Source organism: Homo sapiens, chromosome 6, assembly GCF_000001405.40.
Source record: "Homo sapiens chromosome 6, GRCh38.p14 Primary Assembly".
In the NCBI taxonomy this organism is placed as follows: Eukaryota; Metazoa; Chordata; class Mammalia; order Primates; family Hominidae; genus Homo; species Homo sapiens.
This window is the reverse complement of record NC_000006.12, coordinates 42380794-42408589: the sequence shown is the minus strand read 5'-3', so window position 1 is coordinate 42408589 and position 27796 is coordinate 42380794. Positions and strand designations below refer to the sequence as shown.

The following is a 27796-nucleotide window of genomic DNA, read 5'->3' as shown; positions in this document are numbered from 1 at the left end:
CCTGGCCAACATGGCAAAACCCCATCTCTACTAAAAATACAAAATTAGCCGGGTGTGTTGGCACATGTCTGTAATCCCAGCTACTCGGGAGGCTGAGGCAGGAAAATCGCTTGAACCCGGGAGGCAGAGGTTGCAGTGAGCCGAGATCACGCCACTGCACTCCAGCCTGGGCAACAGAGTGAGTGAGACTCTTTCTCAAAAAAAAAAAAAAAAAAAGATATATATATATATATACACACACACACACGTGTATGTATATATATATATACACACACATGAGTATGTATATATACATACACACACATGTGTATGTATATATACATACACACACATGTGTATGTATATATACATACACACACACATATATATATATATATATTTATTTATATAGCGAAGTTAATGGAAGAGGGAAACAGTTGTAATAAACCAATGGATAAGACATGTTATCAAAGTTAAGCACAGAACTGATGAAGTTCTTTAAGGCAAATACTTAGACTATATTGGTGAAATAACCCAGGCATAGGAACACATCATTTTGTATGAAGCCTGGATCATAAACTGAGAGATACAAAGGTGTTTCACTTTCTTTTTTCTTTACCAAATGCAGGTAATTAGGGAATAGTTAGGCAAATGCTGTGAAAACAATACAGTGGAGAACTCAAACACTTGATACGAGATAGACAGAGCAAAGTTAAGTGCGACAAGAATATGGAATCGCTTACCTGTGCTGATGATGACCTGGTAAATATCTGTGCGCACACGTCCATAAGAATCTGGACAGGTATAGGGCTTATTTGATGTACTTTTGATTAGGTTTTTTTTTTCTCTGTAAAATTGTAAATATGTCATGGAATGTTGGTTTTTAAAAGAAGAAAGGAGGGGGGAAATTCTGTAGTAAAAAGAGGAAATGCGTTGCGGTGGAGAGACGGCACTGGGAAGTCTTCCACATGGAGCTGGATTTGAGTCACTACGTTATCATGTGGTTTTGGACAAGTCACATCTCTCTTCTCAAGCTCCCAGTCTCCACCCTGAGAGGAGGTAATGGTGACACCCACAAATTAGATCACAGGAGTTCTTGACTTCTGAGCAGGCATTCTCTTTGTCGAGCCGGTTTTATGGAATCCTGGAGCCCCTTGCCCACTCTCCCTCGTTTTGTCCCATCTCTGCAGAATGTCTGTAGTTTGGGGGCAGATCCAGGACTAGCGTGACAACAGAGACGGGCAGACAGACAAACACAGCCCCAAACAGGGCAGCCAACAGAGTCATTGCGAATAACGGTGAAAAGAGACTGCAGCCCCCAGCAAATAAATATGTGCCCTTTCCATTTCAGATCTGGAGATGTGGCCTAAGAGGAGAAGACAGAGACTTAAAGAGAGCATTTTGTTGAGCAGACTTAGATTTACCATGCAGTTGAAACTTTTTGTAAGCCTGGTTTGTGGAAAAAGCAGGAAGGAAAGGAGGCCAGCCACTTATCTGGTGTGTTTAGGACACTTTGGGGCATAACTAATGAATTCTAGTGTTGAGTTCCTTTACTTGGGAGCTAGATGACCTTGAGCTTCTTAGCCCAAGCCCCTGTTTCTTCATGTTGAAATGGGAATAACCTCTGTGTCTCCCTGGTTTGTTGTGAGAATGACCTAAGATGTAATGCTTAAATGTTCTTTGTGCTTTTCAGTTACTATTTGTCAAGGTTTCCCCTGGATGCATGCCAAAACAGACACAATGCAGGATCCCATAGGGAATGTGGATTATTGTCCCTGCCTTTGGGGAGCTTGTACATCCAGAGGGAGTGGTTACACAAATCCCTGCAAAGGCTGGGGAGGAGGGGGGTGGGGGGTAAGTGTCATGAGAAGGCAGCAAGGCCAGGGATGCTGTTTTTAAGACGAGGGACATTGGGGCCACTCAGGGCAAGGGGCTAGTGACTGGCTAAGATGCAGTATGGGGGATGCCGGAGAGAGGCAGCATTTGTTGAGGAAGGTTCCAGAAGACATTAGGTAGATTTGAGCAGTCGTCTAGGATATACTGGACATACCCAGGTCTGTTAACTCATTGGAGCCCGATTGCAACCTGTGAGCTGAGGGAACTGGGGTGTGCAGGGACTGGGATGTGAGCTCCTTTCTGGGCTGACTTGGGTCCAGGACAGAGGCCTCTGCCTGCTCTGCCTGTGGTCCTTCCTCTGTACCAATGCCCTTTCAACAAGAGGAGTCATCGGCACTGGCCAGAGTTCATCTTCTTCCGTGGAGTGAGGAGAGGGGCAGAAGAGAAGAGGGTGAAGGGCAAGAAGATTCTGAGATGAAGAGGGAAGAGGAAGGTCAGGAACCAGGAAGGGGGTCTGACTGATTTTCGGGAAGCAGTTGATAGGATGTGGGACCTGGAGTTAGTCACCTGGGGCCAGGTCCCAGCTTTACAGCTGCCAGCCTCCATAACTGTGACCAAGTCAGCCAACTTTTCTGAGCCTCAGTTTCTCCCTCTGTAAAATGAGGATGACTAACTTACCTCCTAGGGATATGAGGAGGACTAACTGAGTTGTATCTGGAAAGTGCTTGGAACTTTCCAGGTCTTCCATACACACTAGCTGCTGCTCTTGTTATTTTTGTGATCACAAAGGATTCTTGCCCCTTGGAAATGACGGTGCTTCTGTGTCATGGGCTTTGTTGCATGGTGGGTCAGTAACACTTTCCCTGTACTCCACAGGGGCAGGTAGTTGCTTCCCCCTGCCTGCTTCTCTCTGTCTTGATCTTCTGCCCCTTCCCTATTTTTTTTTTATTTTTTTTAATTTTTTTAATTTTTTTTTTTTTGAGACAAGGTCTGGCTCTATCGCCCAGGATAGAATGCAATGGTGTGATCGCAACTCACTGCAACTGCCACCTCCCAGGCTCAAGCAGTCCTCCCACCTCAGCCTCCCAAGTAGCTGGGACTACAGATGTGCATCACCATGCCTGGCTAATTTTTGTATTTGTTTGAGAGACAAGGTTTCATCATGTTGGCCAGGCTAGTCTTGAACTCCTGACCTCGGGTGATCTGCCTACCTCGGCCTCCCAAAATGCTGGGATTACAGGTGTGAGCCACCGCACCAGACCCGTCTATTTTCAGTTTGAAGCAGCACCTTCTGTGTGCCAGGCATTTTGCTTTGTAATTGAACGTACATCATCTAATTTAAATCCTCCCAATAACTCTTCTGGGTGGGGCTAATCATTCTTGTTTTTCAGATAAGGAAATGGAGGCCTAGAGAGTCCCACAGGAGGAGATTCAAATTCTGTCTCCATCCCTGAGCACACATCAGTATAACCTTGTGTGCTGGGGCCTCGCATCTTAAGGCTGTGTGAACCAAATTCCCTCCCTTCCTTGTAAGTGACCTCACTGGAACACAGCTGGGATGGTCCTTAACTGCTGCCTTTTCCCTTCCCAATTGTAAGACTTTGAGTCAGAGTACTTAACCCTTAATGCCTCACTTTTCTGTCTATAAAGTGGCAGTGATAACAGCACCTAGTTTGGTAGGGTTACCGTGAAGATTAAATAATACCCAGAGTTCTGGAGCACAGCTGTAAGTGGTGGTTGCTGTTACACTGGTCTGCAACTTTGAACCCTATCCAGCCCCCTGAGAAACTGACCTATCTGCTGACTGTAGCCTGGGGGTGGGTATATTAGCTTTGACTAAATATGTAAAACTTTTAGTGACCCTTCAATCTCCCTGTCCCACCCTTAGGCAAGAGGAATTCTCTTAGTCCTGCAAATGAGAACTGTTCTCTTTTGATGAACACAAAGAAAACCCAAAGTGAGAGTTTCCTAGTAAGAGAAAGCAGCAGCCCTGAGGTATTAGCTCCTTAGGGCCTTGGATTCTGCACTTGCTTAGCTCTGATAGGAAGCAGGAATCGGCACAGAGAGCGGTTAGACGGTAGGATCAAGAGGCAGGAGGAGAGTATCCTGCTGGGGTGAGAGGATAAGGAAATGAGGTTGGGTGGGGCTCCTGACAGGGTTAAGGCCTGTGAATCACCAGAGGCCCTCAGGCTGGGTGCAGTGGGCTGGAGGTAGCTTTTCTGAAAGCCGTGCTTCTTGGAGTCAGCATTGGCTTCACATTCAAGACGGCTGGATTGGGGTGGGGGTAGGGGAGAAAAGGGGGAGTCTTAGAGGAATGAAAATGCATCACGTGGCCACAGCAAGAATCCAGAGAGGAAATGATTAGAATTGTGCTATGGAGTGAAAAAGTAGGACTAGAATGGAGAGATAATTTTGTAGTTCCCTGGATGTGGAGGTGTGCAGGGGAGTCTACGGTGACCCCCAGCTTTTAGCATGTTACTGGATGCTTGGTGGCACCATTGACAAAGATGAGGAGGAACCCAAGAGAAATAAGGTGAAAGATGTTGAGCTGAGATTACCTTTTGACATGTTGAGCTTGAGAAACCCATGGGAACTACAGTTAGAGGCATCTGCTCAGAAGAATGTCCTGGCTGGAGTCGGGCACCATCTGCAAACAGATTCTAGTACTTGAGTCTAGTACTCAAGACTCCCAGGCACAGCATGTTCCCTCTTGCAGGTGGGGTGGGGTCAGGCAGAGTGGTGAGTGGCCGGAGAGGCACCCACGGAGTGCCCCATACATGCCTGGCACCAAGTTGGGAGCTAGGTTCTCTGCAAGCGGGCTCTGTGGCAAGGCCTGGGGGGGGTCTCATGGAATTTCAAGTCTGTCAGTGCGGATGAGCCCAGCAAGAAGAATGTGGGCAGGGAAAGCATGGACAGTGGACAATGAAGCCCTGGAGGACACTAACAGCTCTAGGACTGGAGACCATAGATTTGAAGGATATAAGCTCCGGTTACAAAATGCGCTCTGGAATGTATCCCATTCTGCTGCTTACAATCTGCCCCACACCTGCAGGGTGGAGTACAAACTCCTTAACACAATGTGCACAGCCTGCCTGGACCTTGCCTTGTCTTAGCTTTCTAGGGCTGCTGAAACAAAGTACTACATACCGGATGACTCAAAGCAACAGAAATGTCTGCTCTTGCAGTTCTGGAAATTTGAAATCAAGGTATTGGCAAGGTTGGTTCCGTCCAGGGGTTCTGAGGGAGAAACTGCTCCGTGCCTCTCTCCTGGCTCCTGGTGGCTGCTGGCGATCCTGGGTGTTTCTTGGCTTGTAGCAACATCACTGCAATCCCTGTCTCCATTGTCACGTGGCATTCTCCGTGAGTGTGTGTGTATGTGTGTGTCGCTATTTTCTCTTTTTATAAATAAGGGCATCAGTCATTGGATTAGGTGAGCTTAAGATGAGTATAACCTCATCTTAACTAACTATGTCTGCAAAGACCCTATTTCCAAATAAAATCACATTCTAAGATTCCAGGTGGCCGTGAATTTTTGGGAGACAACCTAGCACCAGCCTCGTTTTTACCTGCTTTTTTGGGCCTTATTTCCCTCCCACTTTCATGGCCTTTTTTGGGGAAGATGTCCAGAATCTACCCCAGCTGAGGTTTGCTGTCTCTGTCTCGTGAGCCGCTCCCTCTCTGTGAGCACCCCAGTACTTTCTTTTTTGCACCCCAATACTTTCTTTATTGTCCCTGTCCTAACTAGGCTCCAGCTTCCTCAGAACAGGGACTGGACCTCGCTCCTCTCTCTTTGTCAGCAACTTGGTGGCTGAGAGCCTCACCTTCAGGGTGCCACAGAAGCGGGTGTGAGTCCAGGCTCCCCACTTAATTAATGTGCGACCCTGGGTGACTTCCCTGACCTCTCCTAGCGTCAGTTTTCTCATCTGTAAGATGGATCTATTAAATGAGAAAAGGTATGTAAAGCAGCTAGTCCGGACTTAGAATCTCCATGAGGGCAGCATTCGATCTTGTTTTGCTCACCTTTGTGTATCTGGCACTTAGCATGGTGTCTGATGTAGTAGGTGCTCCGTTAATATTTGTTGAATAAGTGACCACATGGGGAGACTTAGCTTGATAAGAAATGACTTTATAAGAATTCAGAAGGGTAGACATTTGGTAATAACCAAATCAACAACAATAACAAAAGAAATGACTTATAAGAAGTGAGTTCTGTGTTTATGGATGTGACCCTTCCTTAGAAACCCCCCTTCCCCCTGCCTTCAGTCCCTAAGAGCTGGGTAATTACAGTTTGAGTTGCAGCTAGATGCTGACGAGTAGCGGTGAACAGGGGTCTCAGTTTTAGTCAGGCTCACAGCCCTGCACCCGGTGTTTCTCTTTCATGTGGATGGAACAAACTTCAGCTTATTACATTAGCGGTACCTATGGTGGCTGCAATAGATGAGTCACCATTTACTGTAAAGCTTTCAGATGCCCGGCAGATGCATGCCAGTTGGGACTGACAGGGCCCTCTGCAATACAGGCAACCCAGCCTCAGGGGTCTAAAAAGACATAGAAAATCCTTTTTATGGTCCCAAGTAGTACCAAGGTCTTGGGTGAGGGTCCATAGCCATCTTAACTTCTTCATTCCTAAATTTACTACTGGAAGTTAATTTTGGTCTCCAAACAGTGGAAGGCACATTTTGGAGCCAACTAAACAAGTCTGTGCAAATTGGTGTTTACTTGCTTCTAGACTAGAGGTTTATGTTGCATCTGTTTTGTTTTTATGTAAAATATTAATTTTTAATAAAAGGACCCACTCTTATTTCTTCGTTATCGGCTGCTGAGAGGAATGCTTCAAAGCCCAAGACCTTTTTCCTTAAGTAGAAATGTAGTTGGCTCCTGTCTGCCTGCAGGTGGTGGTTTTCTTTTCAAGAAATGAATCCGTGAAGTTCCATTTGGTCTCCAGTGGTACACAGGGCTTGAGGCATTTCAATCTTTGGGGATGAACTCAGTTGTGAAGAACTGAAAAGACAAGACTCCCAGGCACAGCATGTTCCCTCTTGCAGGTGGGGCGGGGTTGGGCAGGGTGTGGAGAGTGGTAAGTGGCTGGAGAGATACCCACGGAGTGCCCCATCCATGCTGGCACCAAACTGGGAGCTAGGTTCTCTGCAAGCAGGCTCTGAGGCAGGGCCTGGGGGTCTCATGGAGTTTGAAATCTGGTGGGGCGGATAAAATCTTTTTGTGCATGTCTGTATGCTTATCTGTGCCTTGGAGCTCTGGTTAAGTTATGTAGCCTCTCGGCCTCAGTTACCTCATCCGTAAAATGGGGATAATAACAATTTTCCTGAATTGGGTGGTTTTAAGCATTTGATGAGATATTTAAAGTACCTGGTGTAGGCCTACAGCATAGTAGGGCTGAAAAGGTGTTAATTGTAATGATGAGAAGTGTTGTGAATCTTTTCTTTTGAGAGCACGGATGGTGAAGGGAGCCTTTGGTGAAAAGAAGGGTGTTGAGATAGTCCTTCTGGGTAACTGGTAGTTGACGGCCTGGTTTTTTATGGTAATTAATTCAGTATCTCAGATTGGCCTCTGTACTCATTTGGCTGGTTGCTGCCTCTCCACTGAGGTATTTGCTGCTGGCCCCCATAGAATACCTGCCCTTCCCACCCTCTGTGGCCTGTGCCCTCCTCTTCAAAGGCTTCTCAAATGATTGGCCCCGGATGCTTTGACAGGGCCGTGCTTTTCTGGTGCATTGGGAGGATGGCCAGGGGCCCCTGCAGTTTAGTTCACACCCCTCCACCTTTCTCTGGCCAGTGAAGCAGAAGAGGTGGTGAATTCTGTCCTTTCCAAGGCCCCAGTTGGGACTCGGGTCTCCTAGACAATCTTGTGTCTTCCTTGGGAGCAAGACCTGTCAAGAACATCTATTTGAGATTCTGAAATGTGGTGCTGTCTGGGACACAGCCAGTGTTTATGGGGGTGGTGGTGACAGACTATTTGACATTGGGACTTTGGGGACATTCAGGATAATGGTTGCCATGGCTGGACACCCATTACACCTGCCTCCTTTTTTATTGCTGGTGTCTTCTCCGTGAGTCCTCGTCTTCTCCCATCCCCAGCTTTGTGGGGAGGTGATTGTCCTAGAGTGGAGCCCCCTTGCTTCTGGAACCCACAGTCTCACAAGGATGCTGCTGTTCCTCCAGCCAATGTTTACTGCCCTTCTAAGGGCATGGGCCCTGGTGGTGGTGGGTGATTGGGGTTGGGGAAAGGTTGTGTTTTGTTTGCAACTGCATCCCCAGGTGTACCCCCAATAAGCAAGCCAGTGTCAAGCAATCGTGAATGCTTGTGCCAAAGGAAAGCCCCTCACAATGAGATGGGGTGAAACTGCTGCCCCCGCCCCACCTCACAGGATAGTTATATTTGTTATTATCTAGCTGCCTTACTCCTCCTTCTTGGCATGTGTTTGCATGCTGGGCTGCGCAGCTGTCATCAGCTGTCATTTGGGTTGTATCACATGGAGCCGTACGAGACCCCTGTGCTTGGTTCTCCATTGTGTAATAGTGGTGCTGCATTTAGGGTGTAGCTGGCTGAGGTTAGGTTTATGGTCTGTGACTGGGACCAGGAGTATTTTTCTCCACACAAAAGATGCAGGTCCTGTGACTCCTCTTTGGAGACGACTGGATCCAGTGAAAGCAGGTTTTCCTCTGGGGTGGGTTCCATTGAGTGACAATCAGGATTCTAACACAATTCTGATTCCAAAGAGTATGTTCTTTCCACAGTCTCACAGTGACTCCTGGAATATCAGATGGCTCTAATACAAGAATTCCATCTATTTGAGGTCCTGTGGGACCCTCTTGGAGAACAGAAAGAGTGTGGATTAATGGTGGGCAACAAAAGTGACTTTCTCCATTCACTACCACACCATAGAGGATCTGACCATGGGGGATGGATGGGAATGAGAAACTAGGGTAGAGAAGCTGGCCTCTGTTCCCAGAGCATTCAGTTACTACCAGACATGTTCAGAATGCCACAGTTCTAGTCTCAATGACCCACTGGAGGTGTTCTCTCCTCCCTACTCCCTCTCCTTCCCCATGGTCAAGTTCTGGTTACTTCAAATCAGCATTAGGCCTGGAACAGACTACAGCAATGCATGTGACTTTTCCAAAGTCTTAAAACTGGAAGAACTTGCTTGCTCCAGTGTTTTAGATACAAAGCTACACCGGGACTGCATTGGCCAGGGACCCCAGCGCTGCAGCCGCTCCAAGGTCTGGGTTCTTTCCTGGTTGTGTGCTGGCATTTGGGTGTTGGCTTCCATTCAGGAGGACCTCTTCCTTTCATGCAAGCAGATACCTGAAGACACCCAGGTCCCTCGCTTGGTAGTCTGGAACGATTTCACTGTCAGGGGAGCTCTGGGGTGGAATTTAGTGTGGTGGGGTCTATACTTTCTCTTTGATCATTTTAGGTTTAGTATGTTTTTGTCTGTAAAGGGAATGATAACTCCAGCTCATTACTATAATTTGACTACAGTATTGGTTTAATGAGAAACCTATGAGAGGGACCTACTTCCTTCTGATTTTTGTTTTATTTAAAAAAAATTCTGTACATTCTGTTTCATTTCTCTTCCATTGGAGTTTTCTTTTTAAAAGTCACCAAACAACAAAACCATTTAGAAAATAAAATGGACCCTGGGGACTATGTAGCATTTTCTCTCCATGCTGCCTGACTTCCTTCCATCTGGTTAAATCTCTCCCTGTGTTTTCCAGGCGGCAGGTGGTGAGATGGAGAAACTGAGGCCCATAGAGGGGATGGGAATTGATTGAGGTACACACTGGATCAGAGCTTGAATCAGGCCTACACAATGTAGGTTCCAGGCCAGTATTTCTGCTGCTCCCCAGAGCATTGGTGTTACCTGTGGGATGGTCTCCCTAGCAGTGCATGATCTCCTTGTAGTTTCACTGGCTTACTTAAGATGAGCTCTCACTACAGAATTGCTTTGATCATGCATTTTACATGGTGTCAGGACAATCTTGAATGGATTCCTTCCCCATACATTCGTCCATCCAACCACCCATCCATCCGTCTATCCATTTATTCACCCGTTCATCCAAAATCTTTCTTGATCTGCCATGCACAAGGCAATGTGCCAGGCCCAGAAGGTTTGGGGAATGAGAGAGACAAGATCTCACTTCTGGAGAGTCTTTTCTTTGGAGTTGGAGGGGCAGAACCATAACATAACTGTAATACCAAGGAGAACAAAGTAAGCACACAGGCAGAATGGAGTAGTGGAAGCGGGGGGTTAATTTTTGTTGAGAGATGCAAAGATGGCATTGGATCTGAGTTTTGAAGGATGAATAGAATTTTGGCACTGGGCAAATTATGGAAAGGTGCTTAGGAAAATAAGGACCAAGGGCATGTGATGGCCACACTCTGGATTCCTTATTACCATACTGCACAAACTCAGAGGTGATTCTGTCCTGGGTTTAAATGGTACATGCCCTATAATGGTTTTGCAAAATGTTCAGACCTGCTTCACTTTGGGGGTAGGGTTGGAGATAGAAGGAAGGCATTAGGAGAGGGCTGGTATTTATTGAATATTTTGTGTATGTTCATCCAGTCCGCATACATCATCTAATCAGGGGCACACAGCTAGCAAGTGCTGGAGCTGGGATTTGAACTCAGGACTCTGACTTCAGGGCCCCTGCCCTTCCCATCCTACTGACTTATCACCTTCTTCTTGGGAATCACTGATGCTAAACAGTCATTCCCAAATAATAATATAGGATTCAGGTTGCAAAGTGGAGTTGGCTTCTGACCGGTGGGAATGCTTGTGAAAATATTTTGCTGTCTTAGCTCACATCACTCAGACTTTCTGCGATGAGTGGAAGGAATATTCTATTTTGGCCATGCTTTCTGGAGGACCCCTCCACAGTGCCACTGCTCTGTAATGTTGGTCTTTGGCTGGTTTATCAGACGATTGCTGTATATATTATTTCTCTAAGAGCAGATATCTTCTGACCTATGACCTGCCCAAACTAGCAAGTCATACACTTCGCTTGAGTGGGTTATTAATGCACTTCTGATGGAGACAAGCTTCTGAGCTGGCACAATTGGCTGGGTGTCCTTCTGTTTAATAGAGTGGGGTTTTTATTGGAAAATAAATGCTGTCCATGAAACCTGAAAAGACAAACAACGAGGATGAGTGAGGTGAGGAGTGGTGGCTGAATAGGAGGTGGCATTTCCTGGGGCAAAGGCATTGGGCATTTTGTATCTGTTTTCCCAGAAGATGTCTTGGGACATAGGGGATTTTGTCAGGCAGGTGAAAGCCATTCAGGGAGTAGGGTGAGTGTTTGAATCTTAATCAGTAATTCAATATTGAATAATATCTTAATCAATATTAATCAGTGATATAATATTGTCATTCTACAGTACATCCCGACGGTGCCTGTGTCCTGTCATTTGACCCCTCTAACCAGGAGTTTGTATAGAGAATACTTTCTGGGGAAAGTGCCTGAGGCTGTTGGTTTTTGTCTCACAAATGAGATGTAATCCTCATGAGGTCCCAACCCAGTTACACATCAAATTTCTTGTCTCCATACTCCGATGATGCCCTCTGTCTCCTTCCTCTCCTTTCTTTCTCCCCCTTCTCTGTTACAGTGTAATTTTAGTTTGTAAGTTTCTTCCAGGGCTGCAGATCAGTTAATCTTAGAATCCACTGCTCTGAGAGCATCTTGCCTTTTATCTCTGTTCTCTATATTGGGGTCTGTGATTCTGCTGCTAAAAAAAGTTTGAAAACCAGATGCCTAGATCATTTCTGCAGTGTTCCTTGTCTGCAAGGGTGGCCCAAGGGGGTTTGTGGGTGAGGGCCGCAGCGCCTCCTTCAGGGTGTGTGTATGGGTGTGTACAGGGGCCTAGATAGGGTAGGGGACTGATGTGCCTGTCTTGTCGTTCTTACTCTGCTTCTGAAGTCTGGGTCCTTCTAGTTCTTGGGGTACTTGTAATTCTCCTCCCACCATCCCAGGCAGCTGAGGAAAACAGTTTGTGGGTTTCATTGTGGAAACAAATGAATAAATCCCAAGTTATATATGTTCTCTCTTATAATACACCCTGTACAGACAAGAAATCTCGAAGAGGTTGAGTAGCTTGCCTGAGGTCACACAGCTATTAAGTGAGAGGGTCTGTATTAGAATCCAGATCCTGATTTCAGAGTTCATGCTCTTCACTACTACCTGCATCAGCCATACTGTTACAATAAAAGTATTTTACTGTAAAAGTACTATATTTACTTTTACAATAAAAAATATTTATTATTCTCTATCATTTCCCCCTCTTGGGAAGATGGGCTGGGTAAATTTAGCACTGTGTAAATTAGTGTAATATGCATATCTCACTTTTATTTGCCTTCAAAGTACTACCTTTGGAGGGTGGGGCATTCTGGGCTTTGAGTTGGCCATGGTGGGAGGAGGGGTGGGGGCCCAGATTTGGGGTTCTTGTTTCAGTCGGTCGGAGCAAGGGGAGAGGTCTGGGAGGTTTATTTCTCAGCTCCTGAAGCTGGATAGTAAAGTCACACATATGAGAGCTTCAGCGCGCAGAGGCCATCAGTTTCCTTCCAGTTTCCTCTACATCTCCTTTTTCTGACCCTTTCTGATTTTCTACTGGATTCTGATGGAGTCCTTAGAGGGTGGCTCAGAAGATGACGAACTGGGAACAGACCTGCTTGGGACATTCCAGGTGTGAAGGGGAGCAGGGCCTGGGGAAGACCAGAATTGTGTGTGTGTGCACACATACACGTGTGCATGACCATTGATCAGATGGCAGTTGCTTATCCACTGATTGCAGGAATTGGAATCACATGTTGGTTGAACAGTGTGGTCAATCCACAGGTCTCAGTGAGCGTGAGGTAGTTTGATGGCATCTGTAGTACAGAGATGTGAGCTACGCATTTGTTAAGGCCGTGCTTCTCCTTGAGTTGTGAATGGTAATTGTATTCCCCTTTTCTAGAGTGTCTCATTCCTTTGCTTGAGGGGTGATCATGGACCTACTGTAAGGGCTTAGATACGCTCATGAAACACTGGAAGAGAACCTTGGAAAAAAATCCATGGACTAGGTTGTTGGAAGAAAAATCCAGCTAGCTTGTAGGCCCCTCAAGCCTCAGTTTCATCCAGAAAACTGAGGAGAGTTTTCATTAGCTAGTAGCTTCTCTCTTCGGTCTCTTCTCTGACCCAGTCACACTTACAAAGCCAGGTATGGCATCAGGGACTCAGAGTTTGTTGAGTCCGAGTGGGCAAAATCTCTCCGATCTTGCCTGAATGGGACCAAAGGGTGGCCACAGAGCCTTCATTGCCAAAGCCTTCCTGCGGGCTCAATCCTCTGTCCCCCTCCTGTTGTCAGACATTTCCTGAGAACTGAATACTGCAAGAGCCAGATCTTAAGAATGACAGCAGCCCCAGGTCACACCAATGAATTTAGCCCTGCTCTACCCCCATCTTGGGTTGCTGTTCATTTTCTGGGTGTTGGGAGGTGGGTGGGGCATCTGGGCTTTAGCCATAGAGCTGTACATTTAGATGGGCCTTAGCGCTCCTTTTAGTTAGTCCACCCTGACTTTGTAGAGGGGAAGTTGGCTGTCACAAGGTCACACAGCCCCATGTGGGCTGAGCCTGGTCACGGAACCAACTCTTTGCAAAGGGCTCTTCTGAGGCACAGCCTGGACTCCCCAGAAGGGTGCCGGCCCTGTCTACCCCACCTGTCTTGTTTTCCTGGGAACAAGTGCCGGTGTTACAGATGAGAATTTTATGACTTCATTTCAGAGAATGTGGCTGGGTACAGTTTGCCTGGTGGGTGCCTAAATTTAAACGAAGTGGGCTGTGGTGGGCGGTAGTGAAGAAGATTGGCTTGGTGCTTTCATTAAAGCACAATGTGTTGGGGGGAGGTTGGGTTTTTATTTTTACTTCACTGAATGAGGGTTGAGCGCAGAGCTGAGGTTTCCCCCTCCTTTCCTTTTCTTTCCTTTAAAATGATTAAATATCTGTTTTTTTTTAATATTCTCAAATCAGGACTGGTGGTACATTTCACTTTCAGCCTGAGTATAAATGAAAAGTTGAATTGAAATTTTTTTGCATTAGTATTGCTATATTATTATTGTTTTGCATTTCCTAATGGCCAAGTGCAGTTGTTGGGCAAGCCTCTTAAGCATCTATAGACCATTTCTGGTTAGACTTGGTTTTTATTCCCAATCCTGGACACTCGCTGGCTGAGTGAGCCTGGATATTATTTCTGAACTTCAGTCTCCTCTCTGGAAAGTGTTGGAAGCAATGACTAGGTATTAGAATGAATGTGTACATCTGCAGTCCCGTATGTGAAGCCCTGGCTTACTGCACAGCACATGGAGGGTGCTCATGAATTACTGGCTGTGCCTGGCTTCTCTGCTGTGCCTTCCAAGCCTTGTCCCCCACCAAGGTGGGCGTTGATCAGGGGAGGGTGTAGACAGGATAGCCTGCTGACGGAGGAGGCACGGGGATGGTATGGAGGGATGTGCTGTTGTTAGTGTGTTGTGGGGGGAGAGTTGGAGTTTGGGGGTGACCTGGCTTGTCTCTTTGGAGTATATGGGGAAAGTATCAGAGGCCTGAGCACCTGGACCTTCACCCTAGAGGGGTGTCTTCCTGGGCGTTACCTCACTGATTCTTTGTAGTCTTCTCAGGCTTTGAAAATCCAGATTTAAAAATCTGGTCCGTTTACTGTTTTATGGTCATAAAAGCAACCTGTTAACAGAAATAAGTTGGAACATATAGGAAATCATAGAGAAGAAAATAAAAACATCCATCTTTCTGGAAGAAACCAGTGTGAGGATTTGGAAGTTTACATCCCAGTCTTTTTTTTTTTTTTTTTCCTGCATATATACATTGGAGAGTTTGCCTGCTTGTTCATTTTTACAGAACTGGAATCATATTGCACATATTGTTATGTAATGTGCTTTAAAAACTCTATTGTGAGGATTTCCTAGTTGTACACTGCTCTTTTAAAACCTGACTTTCTGTGGTGGCACAGCATTCTATTATGCGGAAGTTCTATAACTTATTTAACCAGCTCCCCTATATTTAGTCATCTAAATTGCCTTCCATTTCTTTTGCTCATTCACCTAATGCTGCAGCGGATTTGGGAATGCAGATTTTAATAGCTAGGTCACTGTTTTAGGAAAGAAATTCTCTGGTGAAGCACACTGAACTAAATGGTTGCATTAGTTTCAGGTTTTGCCAGGCCTTGCACACTCCCGTGACCTTTGCACTCTGCAGGGAATTCACCATCTGCTTAAGTGCTGTACCTCTCCTGAATCTCTGTTCTGACCTTTACTTACTTCTCATCGTCCTTCAACCACTTCTCTGAGAAGCCCTCCTTCTCAGGGGCAGAGGGGATGATGAGAGGCCTTGGCTGCCCCAGAAGATACTGGTTCAAGCCCTGACAATGTCACTCACTTGCAGAATGACAGTGAAAAATTTGTGGTACTTTTTTGAAACCCAGTTTATTTATCTGCAAAATGAAGGCAGGAATGCCTTTCTGGCCAGGTGGTGAGGATGAAATACAGTAATGACCTCTGATGTGCTTTGTAACCTGAAGTACTACAAAGATGCTGGTTGTTAGCACTGACCACTTGGCCCACAGCCCTTGACCTGTTTGAGAGATTATTGACAATAGGACCTAGATCGGTGATGCGTGTGGAAGCTGGCTCGCACCAGCTCGTGGGAGTTAACTGTGCATGTCTCTTCCCAACTCCATGTCCAGTGGCCCTCGCGTCGGCAGCTTGAAACGCCATAGTGGGAGTATTTATACCATGGAAATTGACAACTGCTGTGTGTGTGTGTGTGTGTGTGTGTGTATGTGTGTGTATGTGTGTGTGTGCTGCTTGTTAAACATTCGCCTTACCAGCGTTTCTCAGGACTTCATCTCCAGTGTACTCATTTGACATTTGACATATGTTGTCTTGAGTTTGAATTTATAGGTCACCTTTCATATGTTAATGTCTCATTTCCCCCAGCTGGACTGTAAGCTCTTGAGGGCAGGAATTAGGTATTTGAAGACTTTAATTGCTGGGATGATGGCTATCAGAGACCCATAAAGCAACCTTTGTGCAAATGAGCTTATCACTTTCAGGGACATGAAAAGATTTTCTGCTAAGACTGATGCTCTGAGGGACCCATAGTATCTATGCAGGCCCATGGCTCAGGCCTCTCTTAATGATCCTTTCTGGATAGGTCTTACACACACAGAATTTCAGTTAGTTAGCCTAAAAACTGCCCAGGGTATAATAAAGAGGCTTTATTTCTCTCTGTTTCCATCAGTGACTATAATAATAATGGCTAACAAGTAATAGCTAACGTTTATCGTTGGTTTGCTGTGTCCCAGGTACGTCCTAAATGCTCTTATGATCATTTTCTTGTTTAATGATCACTCCAGTCACATAAAGAATACATGATTATTATCCTCATTTTATAAATAAGGAAACTTAAAGATGTTAAGTGACTTGGTCATGATTGAGGCACATCCAGGATCAACTGCTTATTCATTCACTCATTCATTTCTTCATTCATTTAGCAGGCATCACACCCCTGCCATGTGCCAGGTGCTGCCCTGGCTGCCAGGATAGACAAAGCCAGCCCCTGCCCTCATGGAGCATTCCTTCCAATGAGCAAGACAGATAATAAGTATACGTGTACACATCTACTACAATGTCAGGTGTCGATGAGGTCTGCGAAGAAAATCAGTCATGGGAAGGAGATAGAGGCTGATGGGGTGAAGCTGGGCTTCAGCTGTTTGGATTCCAACTCTGGATGTCTTTCTCCCAGTTCCTGAGACACAGCCCAGCCTGACCCTGGCCAAGCACCTGGCACATACAGGCCTTCATCACATTTTAAGTTTTATTTTATTTTGGGAGCAAAGCTTTACTCTGTGGGGAGGATTCCAGAAGACACATCGAGAGCTCATGGTAAACTCAAATTAGGTAGAAATGTACATAGAACCCTCCAGCCCACTGCTCCATGTTCTGAGGGCCCACAGATGTTCTAGGCAGGTAGAGTAGGCGGGAAGGCTGAGGGTGAAGGTGGGGGCAGAAGAATGAGCTCTGTGGTGGCCAGCAGATGGGAGAGTATAGGCTCTTAGGATCCGAGGCCCACAGGACCAGCAGCTTCTTAGAGATCGTGTTCAAAGGGTACACGTGGATGCAGGAAGGCATGGGGGTGGTGGGTGTGGGCAGGAGGACTCCCTGAGGCCATCTGCTGAGACTGTTCACCAGAGGCTGGAGCCCAGCTTTTCATTCCCTGCCCTGTGACTTGTGCAATATCACCCTGTCTCCCAGAATTGTTCCCCCCGGCTGGGAAATAATGGCAGATGGGTGCAACAGTCTAGCTTAGGGACCTGTTGAAGGGCAGTCCTTAACCCTAGGCATTTAAGAGCCAGAGTAGATTATGAGGACAGGCTACTCTAACCCCCAAAACATCTTCTGGAAGATGGGACCTCCTGGTATCAGACAAAAAGTATTTTAGGGTTGCACTCTCCACCCACCATGCATTGCAGTCCAGTGTAGCTGAGCCAACATTTATTGAGCACCTGCTCCATGTTCGTTTGAGAAGATCTCGAAAAGCCCTGTTCTGGGAGATGGGAGAACTGGGATCCAATACCTGGTCTCCTGTGAGTAAATTAGCTTTGTGATAACAGCTCTTGGTCCTGGTGTCCTCTGTAACAGGAAGGGTCTGGCCAAATGGTGTCCATGTCCCCCTTTTGTTCTGACCTCTGTTCTAAGCTGGAGATAAGACAGGGTCCCACTCACAAAGCATTTCAGTCTTTCAGTTCCTTTTCCCAGTGGTGATCCCTCCCTGGAGTGCAGGGCTTGGGCAGGTGTTTGGAGAGGCCCTAGTAACCTGCAGAGCCGGCTCGTGTATTTCTTGGTCTGTGGGTGTCAAGTGTTTTTTCCCCTTGCCCCCAGCTGTAAGCCACTTGGTACTAACTAATGGTTAAGTGACCATTGCCCACACAGTGTGCTCCCCACAAAGTAAAGCTCGCCCACAACTGTTTTCCTAGCACCCCCACTGTTGACGGGAGCGGTGAAATTTTGGCTGTACTTTCCTGAGGGCCGGGCGGTTGTGATTTCTGTCTTTCGTACGGTCCTGTCTGTCTCAGAACAGTACAGAGCCTCCTCATCCTGGTCTCTCCGACGGCCTCCCACTGAAACCTTACAGTGATACCAGTGCGAACGCATAGGCTTCAAAAATAAAAAGTTACGAGGTGAGGAAGCAACAGGAAGTGGGGAAGCGAGTAGAACAAAGCTTGCGATATGTACTCAGAACGCTGTTGACCTTTTTTTTTCTTTTTAAAATCACATAGCTCTCTCAAATGGTTGGGTTAGAAGCTCTTGTTTGTTTTAAATGGTTGTGCCTCTTATGAGGCCTGTGGAGAGAATGAGTAGTGAGTGTGAAACAAGTTTGGGGAAGATGTGACTCCCCCTCCACACACACAGAACTTGGCAAAAGGTATGCAAATTCATGTCAGAGGCTGTTGATCCTTTCACTCTACTTTGCTTAATTAAAGGCTGGGAAAGTTATTTAAATTGTGCCTCTTGTATATCTTCGTTTGTAGGACTAGATTAGCTCTTGTACTCGAAGACGTGGGGAAAGTAGAATTCTCCCCCGACACTTTTTCTTTCTCTGCTTCTACCTCCGTTTTTCATTTCCACCTGATGACTTGAAGAAGGAGAGAGGCGATTCAATAATTAGTTTCCAGGATTGTAAAGGGCCCACGTATATTAACTTTAACAAAACCCCGTCAAGCTTAAAATGCCTCCTGTTGGGGAAGGCACATTTCACACATACAAGGGACAAGTCACTGGCTGGCCAGATGGAGAGAGAGATTGTTCCTTTAGACAACTAGCTTCTCATTTGAAGAGCAAACGTGGTCCTGAGAAATGAAGCTTCTGATAGGCACTCCCTCTTGGGATATTTTAGCTCACTTAACTCAGGTTGAGTTAGTTCTGTAGGGGCTTTGAGTGGGTTTGAGCTCACAATAATAGCTGTGCTAATGATAAGAGCTATGTGTTTGTGTGGGCTTCACCTGAATTGCCTCACTTTACCTTCCTATCAAGTGTTTGAAGTTGGGAGGGAAGGCATTATAGGTGCTTAATCAATGACGGCTGGATAATATTAATAATAAAAGAATGAAAACAGGAATGGTGAGCCCATGCTTACTGGGCACATTCTTTGGGGTTCAGAGGCTCCGTGCTGGGTCACTGGTCCAGTCTTATTTAACACTAAGGGATGCCAATGGAGAGATGGACAATGGGGACCTCCAGCAGTGACCCAAAGTGATGGAGCAGTGTCCTGCCTCTTAGTTCACTCTTGTCACAGCCTGCGTCTCTCACGTTGCCTTCACTGGCATCAGTTTCTGAGAGAGCTGGGCTTGGAGTGTGGTCTGTAGCCTGGCAATAGAATGTCTCTCTAGGGCCAGCTTTCCCTTGTCCAGGGCACATCCTGACCCGGAATCCTCCAGCTTTGCTGATAGATAGGCAGACTGGCCACTGACACACAGAGGTACCTCGCTTCTTGCCTGTGCCACAGCCTTACAGATTTCAGTGTCAACTGTATTCTACTGGAAGTGCACCAGGGAGTGGGCTATTTTAAAGAAAAGCTAATGGTTGTCTTGATTTTTTCTTTTTAAGTACCCCCTCTCTCCAATTCTATCTTATGTCCATGGTATTTTGTCTTTGTCATTCTCAGATTGTGTTTAAGGCCTGCTCTGAGTGTCTAGGTTCCAGTCTTGGTGGAAGGATTCAGTAACAGAGGCTGTTTTCACCTGCAAGACCCTGTAGGCACACAGTGCATCCAAACTGATCCACACTGGGGCCCATGACTTGGATACCTGCCTGCCTTCCTGTGGTTTCATTTCTGTTTTGTTTTGTTTTGTTTTTTTCTCTAATCTTGTTTGGTGGAGGCATGGAAGCCATAAGCTGGACTGTCTGCTAATTCAGTGAAGTTGTACACAATGAATGGAACACATAGAGCATGAGACTGAAACCATTTTTAAAAACCAAGCCGATTGCCTCTCATGGCTGTTTGACACTGCTGGGCTAATTCTGGGAGTTCTAATCAACTTACTAACGGAATCCTCACCTTCTGAAAAACCCAAGCCTTAGGTGTCTCTTACTCTGGCAGTGCCACCAAGCTGTTTAAAGGTGTTCTAGGTGGTGGTAACTGGCATTTTTCAGGTGGATGAAACTTGGGGGAATGTACAGAGAACTTTCAGGCAGATCTCGTGGCAGTCTGATTTTCAGCTTTCTATGGCAGCTGTACCAACTTGACTGTGGTTGGCGGCAACTGTGCGGACTTGATGCCAGGCCAGCCAGCACTGAGTTGAGACTGTGTAAGTGTGCTGAGCTCGTATTTTTCCTAGTCTTCTGGTTTTGAAGGTTGGGCACCATCTACCTGTGTAATAGATGATTAAAAACAGGTGAAAAATAATTCGAACCCAACTTCATGTTAGTATTTCCCATCCTGTTCCAGTACTGCCTGAATAAAGTTGCCTAAAAAAAAAAAAAAAAGAAAGAAATCAAAACTGCATCTTTTAACAACATTTATTTGAGTTCAGCCCAGGTTCTCTTATCTCCCAATTGGTTTTGATACCCTGATAGCCAGGCAGCTCGCTGGCTAGAATCTTTCATGTTAAATGCAGTGTCTTGGGCTGGGTGCAGTGGCTTATGCCTGTAATCCCAGCACTTTGGGAGGTGGAGGCGGGAAGATCGCCAGCCTGGGCAACAAAGTGAGACCCTGTCTTTACTAAAAATGTAAAAATTAGCCAAGCGTGGTGGCATGTACCTGTGATTCCAGCTACTCGGGAGGCTGAGATGGGAGGATGGCTTGGGACTGGGAGGCAGAAGTTGTAGTGAACTGAGATTGTGCCACTGCACTCTTGCCTATACGACAGAGCCAGACCCTGTCTCAAAAAATAAAATAAAATAAAATAAAATAAAAAAGGTAGCATCTTGGTTTACTGATGTAAAAATTCTTGTGGGAAATGTGGCCCCGAATGTGAACATATGAAATTGGCTTTTTTCCCCCAATTAAAAAGTGATTCACTATCTTTGTTTGATTATTGAAGTACTATAATGAATTCAGTGTTCAGCACTGGGGAGGCGTTGCCTCCCACACTCACCCATGAACAGAGCGAGTGCATTTGAACATAAAATTAATAGAGTTTGTGGCTTAGAAAACCACCTTGTCATTAACCACCAGTGCATGCCAGCCTGAAAGATGTTCTTGTGCCAGAGTAAACCACAAGGTTGTGGAAGAACGTAAAGGAAATGGGGGGTAACTTAATAGTAAAAGGTAAAGGCTGGTAGGTAGGGGATATGTTGGAGGGGCTACAGAATAGGGAAAGAAGGAAAGAAAGCTAAGTCTGGCTGGAGCTTCTCGGCCCTTAGGCAGGCTTGGACTTCGCTAGTAAGAAGTTTGCAGCGTGTGAGCTAAATATTGATGTTCTAGTTTCTGCATTTCCTTAGATTTGTATTTTGAAACTTCTGAGAAAAGGCAGTGAAAAGGAAATAGATAACATTTCTTGGGGCAGAGTGGGTTTACCCCCAGTGGCCCACCTTTGTTAAATTAGACTTAATTCTTAGATCCTGTGTATAAAACAACAGCAAAAAAATTTTTTTAAATCCCCCAAAATAAATAAAAATTTAGACTTAATTCATCTAGGACAGTAGTTCTCAAGTCGGGGTGGTTTTTGCCTTCAGGGGACATTTGGCAATGTCTGCAGATATTTTTGGGTGTCATAATTGGTGATGGTGGTGATGATGGTAGGGGGTGCTGGCAAGTGATAGGTGAAGGCCAGGGATACTGCTAAACATCCTACATGTACAGGAACCCCATCTCCAACAAAGAATGATCAGCCTGAATGTCAATAGTTGTGAAATCTTGACCTAAGAGCTTAGTTGCTGCGCATCTCATCCTCAGAGAGAGCAGTGTCTCAGCACTGGGCTGTGAGAAGAACATCCTTCTGCTGAAATGCAACCCCCCAGCTCCAGAGAGCTTCCCAACCAAAGATCCGGAAGGGTCCCAGGAGTTGGCTTCTTGATCCATCTGTGATAATTTTGCAGCTTAGAGGTGTTTCCACCTTTTCCTTCTAACATTTCTCCATCATGTCTTGTTGCTGCACAGACCTGTCCCCTAACATTAATTCTCTAATCCAGTGCCTTTTGTCCACGCTCCATGCCAAGTGCTACAATTTGGGTTTTTCTTGCTTTTCTATCTATTCTACCCATTGGGGGAGTCTTTGGTCCTCTTTAGGGAATCTGCTTTTTTCTTTCTTTCTTTCTCCTTTTTTTGAAACAGGGTCTCGCTATGTCGCCCAGGCTGGAATGCAATGGCGTGATCTCGGCTCACTGCACCCTCTGCCTCTTGGGTTCAAGCGATTCTCCTGCCTCAGTCCCTGAGTAGCTGGGACTACAGGCACCTGCCACCAGGCACTTTACTAGTCTTTACTAAAAATACAGTCACTGTATGTCAGAACCTGAGACATTTGAACTGATAACATGGCAAAACCCCGTCTCTACTAAAAATACAGTGCCTGACACTGTGTTTTTAGTAAAGACAGGGTTTCACCATGTCGGCCTCAAACTCCCAACCTCAGGTGATTCGCCCACCTCGGCCTCCCAAAGTGCAGGGATTATAGGCGTGAGCCACCGCACCTGGTGAGAATCTGCTTTTTTTCTATCCCAAAACAGAGATTAATGAATCTCTGAATTGTTATTCTGCATAGGATATGTTCTGTGTGCCATTTCCCCCCATATAGAGAATTAAAACTGTGAACTATTTAATAAACTATAGGCTTACCGCCAGTCAACTGTAAAACACATACCTCTTTCAGGCCACTTTCTGACAAGTTTCAGGTAAGAATGATAGCATATTAAATTATTAGGCAGTTTTATGACTGTGCAGAGAAGATTTATTCTTTGATGAATAAATATTGCTGTAGCCCAATTTAGAACTTGACAAATGCTGATTTACAGCTTAAAATATAAGGGTTATTTTATGATGAAGTGGCAGTGGTGGTGGGGTAGGTTTAAAAGTGATGTCAGTGGTGCCTTTGAGTAATATGCCATTAAAACACTGCCACAGGCAGAGCTGCAGGGAGGATTCTCAGGTGGCTTCTAGAGGTGCCTGCCACTCCCGATAGGTTTCGGGGTCCAGGTCACTTTGTGCTGCACAGTCTCAGCTGATAGTACTTGGAGGCATTATCGAAAGTGTGAGTGCACCTGCGTTCCTGGCAGTGGTTATTATAGTGCACCTTCTAAAGGGTTCTGCCTGCCTGTCCACGTAACTTCAGGGTGGTGGTGGCCCCAGTGTCAGTGACTGTACATTTTTCAGATGATGGGAAGGTAATTTTGAGGAAGAACATTTTCAAAACCCTGTTAAGAAGAGAAGCTGGTGAGCTCCTTGTGTATTCTTGTTATGTTGATCATCCTACTTTTGAATCAGAAAACCAGGATCAGGTCGGGTGCAGTGGCTCACACCTGTAATCTCGGTACTTTGGGAGGCCAAGGCAGGTGGATCACTTGAGGTCAGGAGTTTGAGACCAGCCTGGACAACATGGCAAAACCCCGCCTCTGCTAAAAATACAAAAATTAGCCGGGCGTGGTGGTACACCCTGTAATCCCAGCTACTCAGGAGGCTAAGGCAGGAGAATTGCTTGAACCTGGGAGGCAGAGGTTGCAGTGAGCCGAGATCGCACCACTGCACTCCAGCCTGGGCAACATGGACATGGTGAAACCTCATCTTTACCAAAAATAGAAAAAACTAGTTGAGCATGGTACCAAATGCCTGTAGTCCCAGCTACTCAAGAAGCTGAAGTGGGAGAATTGCTTGAACCCAGGAGGTCGAGGCTGCAGTGAGCTGAGATCGTGCCACTGCACTCCAGCCTGGGCGACACAGTGAGACCCTGTCTTGAAAAAAAAAAACCCAAAAGACAAAATGAACAAATAAAAATAAAACCCTGAGACATTTGAACTGATGCGTATGGGTACTTATAGGAATAGAGGATTTAAAATTGTAGCTGACTATAATGCGTGTTGCATGCATGCACACATGGTGGTGGTAGAACTAGATCAGTTACTTAGAAACTTTTTCTTTTTGCTTGCTTCCTATTGATTGATTTAATAGTTGAGGTGTGTACATGATATAAAATTTGCAAGTTATGAAGAGTCTAAAGTGGGTTAAATAATTCTTTCTGCCCCCAGCTACCCATTTTTCCTCTCAATAGGTAACCACTTTTATTAGCTTTTGGGGTATCTTTTCAAAGATAATCTATGCATATAAATGTGTATATGAATATGTACTATTTTTCAACAACTGTTGGCATACTATTCATGTTATTCTGTGGCTTGCTTGTCTTACCTAGCAATATACATTGAAAATTATTCCATATTATGACATAGAGGATGCCCTCATTCTTATAAAACATTTTTTCCTTTATTCTTTTTTATAGCTGCATAACATTCCATTTTACAGAAGAATCATAAGTTATTAAAGCAACCCTCCAAATGGTGGATATTGTAGTTACTTCCAATCCTTTGTCATAAATCATACTGCAGTGAGTATCCTTGTGTATGTTTTTGCATATATAGGAGTATGTCTGTAGGATAAATTCCTAGAAGTGGAATTACTGGTAAAAGCATCTCTACATTTGTGATACTGATAGACATACTAAGTATCCTTTCAAGGAGGTTGTAGCAATTTACACCGAAACCATCAATGAATGAGACATCCTCACCAACACAGTGGTGAGGATGTCTCATTCATTGATGAGTTACCAGTAAGTTATCAGACTTTTTTATCTTTGCCAATCTGATGGATGAAAATTGGTATCTCAGTTTTAATTTGTATTTCTTTTATGAGTATGGTTGAACATCTTTTCACAAGTTTAGGATTCATTTGTATTTTCTTTTGATTCATAGTCTGTCCATGTTTCTGTTGAGTTGTTGGTCTTTCCAAGTCTTTTAGATTTGGTATCTCTTTGACCCATTTCTGTATTTTGTGTAGCCCACTCTGGGGACTGGGGCAGCCTGTGCATTCAAATGAGGCTTTGGTGAGTGGGATGGATCAACTCTCTGGTGATGAAAACGAGTCCATTTTCTTGGGTGTGGCCATTGCTGCATTGGAGGCTGCTGGGGGCTCCAAGCTTGGTGGTTTCTGGTCCTCACCCCTACAATGCTCGTCGGAGCGGGGAACAGTCTGACTCATATGGAGAGCAAGTGCCTCCTGGTGGGTTGAACACGTGAGGAAGGGTTGGTGGGGAGATGGACACAAATGAGACTAGGAAAGCCAGGGTTGGGAGGAGGAAGGGGGTGTTAGGGGGTATCCAGAGCACGGAGTGTTTGCATTTAGGCAGCTTCATAGGAAAGAGGCATGATAGTGACACTGGAGATTTTCAAATACACAGTGTCCCAGAAGTCAGGAGAAATAGGATACATTTGGATGTAAACAGTATGTGAGTTACATTTTCAAAACTATGCTCAATATGTTTTTGTTTTTGTTTTTCAAGACAAGGTCTCACTCGGTCACCCAGGCTGGAGTGCAGTGGAGTGCAGTGACAGAATCTCAGCTCACTGTAGCCTTGACCTCCTGAGCTAAAGCAATCCTCCTACCTCAGTCTCCCTAGTAGCTGGGACTACAGCTGTGCACCACCACACTCAGCTAATTGTTTTATTTTTTGGAGAGCCAGGGTCTTGCTATCAATATGTTTTTTGCCCCAACCTCCAGACAACTTTTCAGATGTTTATCTAAACACAAAGCAGTGGTTCTCAACTGGGAGTGATTTTGCCCCACACCCACCCCACCCCCCAAGCCCCAAGAGGCACTTGGCAATGTCTGGAGACATTTCAGTTGTTGTGTCCTGGGAGATGGAGAGGAAGGAGAATCCTACTGGCATGTAGTGGGTGGAGGCCAGGGATGCTACTAAACATCCTTCAGTGCAGAGGAAAGCTTCCTATTTTAGCCCCAAATCCCACGTTCAAGACATGAAAGCCCTGATGTAAAGCAAAATGGGGTCTGGTTGTTAATATGAAAAAAAAAGCTGCACGAATCCACTGTTTCCTTCTGTTTTCAGACATTTTGGACACTCTTTTATGGCACAGTGGGACTCACTGATTTGCATTCAGAAAAACTTCACCTGAAAAGGTGTGGAGGCCTAGGAAAAACATGGAGAATTTTAGTTGAAAGTGCAACCAGCACACTGTTTTTAAAATAAGTCAGTACCCTGTGTCCTAACTTTTCAGATTGTGAGAGGTGAGACCTGTCAGTGACCACTGGTTCCACCCTACTGCCTTCTGCTTGGCAGCTTTTTTTTTTTTTTAATCACGTCTTTGAGAAGGATTTTGCTAAGAGAATCACTCTTTCTCTTAAGGATACTCTAGACACGGGAGATAAAATGTTTTAACCTGAGGCTGGAAGGGTCTGAAAGGGTCATTGATGCATCAGGTGGCATTTTCAGTGTGTCCGTGCTCCCCACATGGTGAGACCCTGTTGTGCTATGAGTCTCCTGTGCCGTCAGGATGCCCATCCCTGGGTGGCCTTCCATGTCCAACCCTGGAGACTCCGAGGAACCGTAGAAACACCCAAGGATTTGGGTACCACACTTGGGAACCACACTGAAGGGTTGAAATCTTCACTCCTCACTCCTCACCTGTTCATTATTTTGGGCAGGCCTCAGTTGCCTTGTCTGTAAAATGGGAATACTATTAGCACTGTAATGAGGATTAACTGAGTATGGGAAAGTGCTTACAATAGTGCCATTAAGTGTTAGCTATTATAATTGTGATTATTATTATTATTGGTTTCAGCCATTGGCAGTTCCAGCCTTCTTGCCCCTCCTCTTCAGTCCTGTGGAAACCCTTTGCCAAGAACAGCCAGCACACTAGATTCCAGGGGAGCCTCTGATGGCCTCCCTGAGCCCTCCTGTGCTTGAATACTTCTCCCCAAGTCTGGGGTGGGCTCTGCTTCTCCCAGGAGGTGCTGAAGCTTGTGCTGAGCCACTTCCCCTGCCTTCTCATCCACCCTTCCCTCCTCCGTTGAGGGAGGAGTGGCCCTGCCTCTCTGAGATGGGCTTCTTATCCTGAAAGCTGAGAAGATGGTTGTAGAACCCAGCTTCAATCACGGCTGGGCTGGTGGGCTCCCTGCTCTTGGTCCTCAAGGTGCATTTCAGCTCAGCCTCACCACAGTCACCAGAAAGGGCTATTTATAAAATGAGGACAGCCTTTGGTCCTACCCTATAAACAGCCTTACTAGGAAGTCGTTAGGTGAAGCTGATTTTTAATTTCTTTTCATTCAGCATGGAGCTTCATATTCAGATAGGTTAATGGCTAGGGATCACAGGCTATTATGCCTGGGTGGGTGGTCCAATCCCTGGGTGGTTCCTTAAAACAAGGCGCTGGTTCAACCAGCGCCTTGTTTTAAGGAACCACCAAATACTGAGACGCCTTATGGGATGCATTGAGGTGACAGAGGGAAAGAGGCAGATAAACCCTGTCTCCGGGGAGCTTGTAGTCCAATGGGGGCAGCACAGCCCCTGCCATCAGGGACTCCCAATCTGTTAGGGAGACACAGCCTCTGTCCTCAGGAAGCCCCTGTCTGAGGGGAAAGGCATAGAAGGAGGTGCAGGATGAATTCAGTCTGATGGTGCAACAGTTCATGTTCTCCAGGACCTCCCAGTCTGATGGGGGAGAGACAAACCCTGCTTATCCAGCCTGATGGAAGATATTTGAGTCTTGCTTTCTGACTCAGTTTGATGATGTGTGATACAAAGAGAATCCTCATGGAAATGGATGTTTCCATTCTTAAACCCCTAACTTTCTTTCTCCCAGGACAGAAGTGGAGGAGGCAGGAGGGAGAGTGTGGCAGCCTGGGCAGAAGAGATGTAGTGGTGCCTGCTGATGTGGCCCCTCTGTGGGCCCAACCCCACCCTGGAGCCCGTGCAAAGG

General features: G+C 45.8%; 1 protein-coding gene across 52 annotated transcripts in view, besides 3 other annotated features; it reads left to right on the top strand.

Annotated features, from left to right (window-relative positions):
- Window positions 1-27796, top strand: part of TRERF1 (transcriptional regulating factor 1) — a 227294-nt gene that overhangs the window by 43635 nt on the left and 155863 nt on the right. The window lies entirely within an intron of this gene.
- Window positions 5990-6039: an enhancer, noted in NCBI's record as "active region_24552". NCBI's record gives its function as "activates an Ori minimal core promoter by ATAC-STARR-seq in GM12878 lymphoblastoid cells {active_cell/tissue: GM12878}" and the evidence as "EXISTENCE:reporter gene assay evidence [ECO:0000049][PMID:35858748]".
- Window positions 18068-18217: an enhancer, noted in NCBI's record as "active region_24551". NCBI's record gives its function as "activates an Ori minimal core promoter by ATAC-STARR-seq in GM12878 lymphoblastoid cells {active_cell/tissue: GM12878}" and the evidence as "EXISTENCE:reporter gene assay evidence [ECO:0000049][PMID:35858748]".
- Window positions 22982-23161: a silencer, noted in NCBI's record as "silent region_17202". NCBI's record gives its function as "represses an Ori minimal core promoter by ATAC-STARR-seq in GM12878 lymphoblastoid cells {active_cell/tissue: GM12878}" and the evidence as "EXISTENCE:reporter gene assay evidence [ECO:0000049][PMID:35858748]".